The sequence below is a fragment of the Homo sapiens genome, chromosome 8 (assembly GCF_000001405.40).
Source record: "Homo sapiens chromosome 8, GRCh38.p14 Primary Assembly".
NCBI lineage: Eukaryota > Metazoa > Chordata > Mammalia > Primates > Hominidae > Homo > Homo sapiens.
This window is the reverse complement of record NC_000008.11, coordinates 101,899,266-101,906,326: the sequence shown is the minus strand read 5'-3', so window position 1 is coordinate 101,906,326 and position 7,061 is coordinate 101,899,266. Positions and strand designations below refer to the sequence as shown.

Genomic DNA, 7,061 nt, shown 5'->3' with positions numbered 1-7,061 from the left:
ATCAGAATGTGGTTTTGGCAGTGATTTCGAACTTCCAGTTGTTTGGAGACTATATATCAGAAAATTCAAGGATGTTTACAAAGAATCATCTGTAAGAAGTGAGGGAAATGGGGAAGGGATTAGAGTTCAAAAAGTAAATCGAGAGAAGCAGCAGGTGTGGTCTGTGTCTGTCCCTGCCCTGTGGAGTTCCATCAGGGCCCAGCTGTGATTTGACATCATAGACATATTACATACTTACATGAACTTGACATCACCCATAATTGATGGTAAGCAAACAATGAGTTTGTGAAAAACTGCATTCATTTGCATAAATGAATCACATAAATGATTCATGGATTTAATTACTTCATTCTGTTAATGTGGTCAATTTCAAATTGACTTACTTCACTAATTCAGCAAGCATTTATGGAGCATCTATTTATGCAGAAACTGTATGAATCTCCTTCAAAGTAGTCTACATCTAAGTCTGAGTGTCAGCAAATAGAGATAGGGAGGCCTGGAATCATATTCTGATGCTCCTTGAATTTGGGGTGCATAGAGGAGACCACAGGGAAAGAATTGGAGAAAGAAAGCTCATTGAAGGTTCTGGATGCTGGTTAGGGAGCTTCGACTTTAACCAGTAGCCAGTCAGAAGCTTCCTTTATCGAGGGAGTGGCATGGCCACATCTGCACTTTAATTAGGATGTTAATTGAGTGGTGTGTGGAGGGGTAGAGGGTGGATGTAAGTAGAAGTTGGGGGACTAGTCAGAAGGCAATTTAAATAGTGTGGGATGGTTTGTAGACATACAGAAATGACAAAGATCTCAAGTCAGTGGCATCTATGGAAATGGAAGGAAAGACATATCTGAGAGAATGTTGGTTAGGGTAAAACCAACAAGTGCTCAGCCACTTGCTGAGGTCGGCCTCCTGACTTTGGAGTTGAAGTGATTGGGAGGCTGGAGAAGGGAAGAAATAGAGAGTCCAGAAGGGAAGAAAAGCAAGTAGGGGGTCAAAAAAATACCCCCAGGGAAAAGAGAAATACACCAGAGAGAGAGAGAGAGAGAGAGAGAGGAGAGGAGAGAGATTGGTGCTAGAAATAAAGATTTGGGAATTATCTGAGAAAAGATAATCATAGAAGCCATGGGCATAGAAAACATCAACAAGGGAAGAAGTTAGAGAATGGAGAGGAGCTCTGAAGAAACAACTGTGGTAGGATTGTCAGATTAAAAAATAGGAAGCTCAGTTAACACTGAATTTCAGATCAACAAAGAATAAAATTTTAGTGTAAGAATGTTCCATGCAATATAAAAACTATTGATCTGAAATTTAAATTTAATTGGGCTTTCTGTCTTTTTTTGCTAAATGTGGCCACCTTTGATTGTGGGGATTACTCTCATTTATGGGATGGGCAAAAGAGGAGGAAACTGGAAGGGTCTAGGAATGGACAGATAGACCATCCTGGTCCCAGGAGCACCAGGATGTTGCACTACCACAGAATCAAAGGGCAGAGTGGGTTTCAGAAGGGTAGAACAGAAAGCTCAAAGCCATTGCGTTTGGCAACCTGGAAATCAGTAGGCACCTTGCAGGAAGCAGAGAGAGGTCTGGCTGCAATAGTTGGAGTAAATATAGGAAGAGTGATGAAAATAATCAGACCCTTCTTTTGGGATGCATGATGGAGAAGAGGAGAGAGATAGAATTGTAAAGGGTAATAAAATAGAAGGAAGGCTTATAGAATCACAGAGGTGGAGGCTGTTTTCCAGCCTTGGGGAAGGAGCCCAGGAGATGGTATCCTGAAGATGTAAGAGGGGTGGTGGTGAAGGGATGGAGTGAGATGTGGATGATGCTGGAGGGGAGACCAGGATATAAACGGAGGGATTAACCTTTCCATGAAGGATGCTCCCTCTTTATTGGAGTCATAAAGGAAGGAAGTGGGGAGATGGGAAAAGATGTGGTGATTTTGAGAGTAGGGAAGGAAGACCTTTTATTTCTTTTTGCTTTCAGACTGTGCTATGAGAGTGCATGATATAAAGGAGGGATTAGGGGAGCGGGGGCGGGGGAACTCAGGCTGAAAATACTCCTTCTTTGCTGATTGCACAGGACAGATTTGATGAAGAACTCAAAGGTGCTTATAATTCATCCAACTGGGAGCAATTTATTTCCCTCCTCTTGTGTCTTCTTCCAGCTCCAGAGATCCCTATCGATTCACAGCATAGCTGAATTACTCACCAGGGAAGGGAAAATAACAGAAACAGAACTGAACAGGCTTACTGTCCTCCATTTTATTCAACCAGGAGACCCTGGTCTTAAAAGGATCAGGGCCATTTATGCTCATCCCTAGTCCTACAGGAGCGCAGGAGTGGGCATTTTGGGGAATGTGTGGGATTCCTAGTCTGGAGTCTGTGTCTGCAGATTGTGTCATGTGGGGTTAATGGCTTTGCCATGTCACACCCAGCATACCAGGGACTCACAGATATACAGGAGACACACACTAACCCCAGGCACCCTTCTGTCTTTTAGAAGCTGAGGTCAAAAGGCAGCCAGGCTCTCCTGCAAATGGGAGAGGATGAGACTGAGGAAGAAAACAGCCACAATCTCTTAGCCACTTTTCCTCTCTGCTGGTAAGAGCAGGGATGCCTTTGTGGCACAGGAAGGAGCCATTTGTAGAACTGAGGAAGCCTGGGAAGGCTGAGAGAGGTATTTCAGGGAGGAGGTGGAGGAGTGCTGTCTACCCAGGGAAGCTCTTCAGTGGCTCCACCTCCAGAGAACAGCAACATTTCCAACTTCTCTACAGTCCTCATTCTCTCCCTCGCTCTCGCCCCAACACAAAAGCACAGATGAAATTCCTAAACATAGCCTGGGTGTGGTGGCTCAAGCCTGTAATCCCCAGCACTTTGGGAGGCTGAGGTGGGCGGATCATGAGATCAAGACATCGAGACCATCCTGGCCAACACGGTGAAACTCCATCTCTACTAAAAATACAAAAATTAGCTGGGCATGGTGGCACACACTTGCAGTCCCAGCTACTCGGGAGGCTGAGGCAGGAGAATCACTTGAACCCGAGAGGCGGAGGTTGCAGTGAGCTGAGATCACGCCACTGCACTCCAGCCTGGTGATAGAGTGAGACTCCATCTCAAAAAAAAAAAAAAAAAATTCCTAAAAGTAAACCACTGCTGTCTAGTTATTTTTAGTATTTGCTGTTAGTATTTATCAAGCCTTTCAGTGTTAATTTGTCTGCCCACTCATTTCTTTTCCTGCCTCCACGTGCTGGGCTTGGGATGGAAGGAGCACGCATAAGCAGCAGCTGGTGACCTCACAGAAATATGTCCTGGAGAGTAGAGGCTGTAAGCCTTTAAAATCGATCTTCTCCACCCCTGCCTTGCAGAGAAGAAAGAAAGGTCTCTATTCCGTTAGCCTTGGAGAGCAACACAGTTGTTGGTGAAAGTGAAACCATTAGAATGTCTAGGTGGTATTTAGTTAGGTCAGGGGCCCCTGCTGAAGAGCTGGGTCAGGGAATCCACACATGTGCACAATGTCATAATGCAAGCAAAAATGGGTCAGAGGCCAGGTAAGCAAGCAGAAATTAGGAGGAAGCACATGCTGGGGGAGAGAAAAGTAAAAAAAGCCATGGCATCAGTCCGGGATTTGAGGGAGCTGAAGGTTGACAGTAAGATGAGTAGGGCTGGCGTTGAAAAGGCCAGAGGAGGAAAGCTCTGCAGCACTCTGATAAGCTACAGCTTAATGCTGCAACACTGCTTGTTCCTGCCTTGGCTGTCGGTCCAGTCACCTGGAGGCAGCCTTGCCCAGAGCAGCCACATTGCTCTGTAGAGGAACTCTAGGGCATGTTCTAACAGAGGGCTGTTGAAAGGAGCAGGACCAGTCCAAATATGAGTCACATCAGCCTGCGTGGTCACTGGACCCCTGGCCAACCCATGAGTGTATTCATTTCTTAGGAAGCAGAAAGAAGTTTCTTTTTACTACTTCAAAAAACGTATTGGCTTCCTTTTTGCATTCTTTTCTTACTTCATTATTTTTTCCAATTTCTAGGAAAATGAAGTTAAAAAAAAAAAAAAAAAAACTCAGTGGATGGGCTAACATGAGAATGGAGTGGACAGAGGAAAGAATCAGTGAACTTATAAGTAGAATAGTAGAAATTACCCTATCTTAGCAATAGATCAAATAGGCTGAAGAAAAAAAAGAGGGCACGGATCTATGGGAATATGAAAACTACCTAACATGTGTTATCAAGAGAAAAGAATGTAGTGGGTGTGATGGCTCACGCCTGTAATCCCAGCACTTTGGGAGGCTGAGGTGGGTGGATCACTTGAGGTCAGGAGTTCGAGACCAGCCTGGCCAATATGGTGAAACCCCATCTCTACTAAAAATACAAAACTTAGCTGGGTATGGTGGTGAATGCCAGTAACCCCAGCTACTTGGGCGGCTGAGGCAGGAGAATCACTTGAACTCAGGAGGCAGAGGTTGCAGTGAGCCGAGATCCTGCCACTGCACACTAACCTGGGTGACAAGTCGAGACTCCATCTCAAAAAAAAAAGAAGAGAAAAGAGTAATGCAAAGAATAAAAATGGGGTAAGTACAATAAAGTTTACTTCTCCTCTTAAGTTTTCTAAATTATATTTCATGGTTAAAGCAAAAAATAACACTATCCGATGTAGTTCTTGATGTACGTAGATAAATATTTAAGAAAATTATTTTATAGATGAGGAAAAGTAAAGGAATGTAAAGGGAGGTAAGAATTCTACCAATACACTCTGGTAAGTTGTGTATATTTATTATAATAAGGAGAGCAACCATTGAAAAAGTGAGATAAAGAGATATACCTAAAAACACTATAGATAAATAAAAATGGAATTCTTAAAAAGTCCTAAATACCCACAATAAGTCTAGAAAATCAAAATAAAGGAAAAAAAGTAGAGAACAAACAGGAAACAACAAAAATGGCAGATATTAGCCCAAGTATATCAACAATTACATTGACTACAAGTGGCGAAAATATACAAATGAAAGATGATTGACATAATGGATTTTTTTTTTGACATGATGGATTTTTAAAAAACCCCAACTATATGCTGTTTATAGGAAATTCCTGTCAGATATAACAATATAGGAGGGTAAAAATTACAGAATGAAAAAATGTTTTAATGTAAATATTAATTTTTTAAAAAGCAGGAATAGCTATATGAATGTTAAAGGAGACTTTAGAGAAAAGAAAATTACCAAGGACAGAGAGAGATATTATATAATGATAAAAGGGCCAATCTACCAAAACAACATAGCAAACATACATATTTTGCATGCAAACCCTAAATATATACCCAAAAAAGTGAACTGCAAAGTATGTGAAACAAAACTGATAGAACTGAAAAAAGAAATAGGCAAATTCATAATAAGAGTTAAAAACCTCAACACACTTCTCTCAATAACTGATAGAACAACTAGACAGAAAACCAGCAAACATAGAGAAGACCATAACATTATCAATCAACTAGATCTAATTTATATTTATACAATCCACCCAACAACAGAAGAATTGACTAACAAAATGTATACCAAAATATACCATAAACCATAAAACAAACCTCAACAAATTTAAAAGAATTGAAATTATACAAAGTGTATTCTCTGGCTATAATCAAATCAAGATAGATATCCCCAACAGAAAGATGGCAGGAAAATCTCCAAACAGTTGGAAATAAACAACAAACTTTCAAATAGAATCTGTAGGTCAAAAAGAAAGTTTCAAAGAAATAAAAAAATACGTTAAAGTGAATGAAAATGAAAATACAACATCAAAATTTATGTGACTCAGCTAAAGCAGTTCTGAGAGGAAAATTTATAGCACTAATATAATGCTTACATTTGAAAAGAGGAAAGTCTCAAATTGATAATCTGAGCTCCTATCTGAAGAAACTAGTTTTTTAAGAAACTAGAAAAAGAGCCAAATATACCCAAAGCAAGCATAAGAAAGGATATAATAAAGATAAAAGCAGAAATTAATAAAACTACAAGGAGAAAAACAAGAAAATAAACAGGCTAGTTCTTTGAAAAGAAAATTGATAAACCTTCAGCAACACTGACAAAGAAAAAAGAAGATATATATTGCCAATATCTGGAATTACAAAGGGGACATCACTACAGACCTGCAGACATCAAAGAGAATAATAAGGACATTCTACAAATAACTCTACACATTTGACAACTTATATGAAATTAAGCAATTTTCCAGAAAGCACAAACTACCACAATTCATACAATATAAAATAGATAATTTTGATAGTCTTGTAACTGAGGAAATTGAATTAGTAATTTAGAAACTCCCAAAACAGAAAGTTCCAGGTCCAGATGGTTTCTCTAGAAAATTCCATAAGACATTTAAAGAATAATTAATACCAATTCTCTACAACCTCTTCTAGAAAATAAAAGATGAGGAAATATTTCCCAATTCATTTTATGAAGCTGAAATTATTTTGATACCAAAACTAGAAAAAGCACAATAAAAGAAAACTAGAGACTAACTACTCTTATAAAGATAGATGTGAGAATCCTAAAAATATTGATAAATAGTGTTCAGTAATATATAAAGGTAATTATATGCCATAACCATATATTTATTCTAGGGATAAAAGAATGGTTCAATATTTGAAAATCCTCAATGTAATTCACTATATAAACAGTCTAAAGAAAAAATCACAATCATACTAATTGATGTACAGAAACCCATTTGACAAAATGAAACAACATTCATGGCAAAAACTTAGAGAAATAAGAATAGAAGGAATCTCCCTCAAATTGATAAAGAGTATCTATGAAAACGCCTATAGCTAACATTGTACTTAATAGTAAAAGATTGAATTCTTTCTCCATAAGATCAGGTAAGGATGACTGCTCTCACCACTCCTATTCAATATAGTACTGAAAGTTTGACATGCAATAGAGAAGAGGAAATAAAATCCATACAAATCAGAAAGGAAAAAGGAAGAAATAAAACCATTCCTATTTGCAGGCAACACGATTGTCTACTAGAAAAATTCAATGGAATCTATAAAGAAAAAACCTCTTAGAACTAA

The 7,061-nt window shown here is 39.0% G+C and overlaps 1 protein-coding gene across 17 annotated transcripts in view, besides 2 other annotated features; it reads left to right on the top strand.

The window, feature by feature from the left end:
• Positions 1–7,061, top strand: part of NCALD (neurocalcin delta) — a 438,366-nt gene that overhangs the window by 218,581 nt on the left and 212,724 nt on the right. The window lies entirely within an intron of this gene.
• Positions 3,516–3,565: an enhancer, noted in NCBI's record as "active region_27738". NCBI's record gives its function as "activates an Ori minimal core promoter by ATAC-STARR-seq in GM12878 lymphoblastoid cells {active_cell/tissue: GM12878}" and the evidence as "EXISTENCE:reporter gene assay evidence [ECO:0000049][PMID:35858748]".
• Positions 3,576–3,625: an enhancer, noted in NCBI's record as "active region_27737". NCBI's record gives its function as "activates an Ori minimal core promoter by ATAC-STARR-seq in GM12878 lymphoblastoid cells {active_cell/tissue: GM12878}" and the evidence as "EXISTENCE:reporter gene assay evidence [ECO:0000049][PMID:35858748]".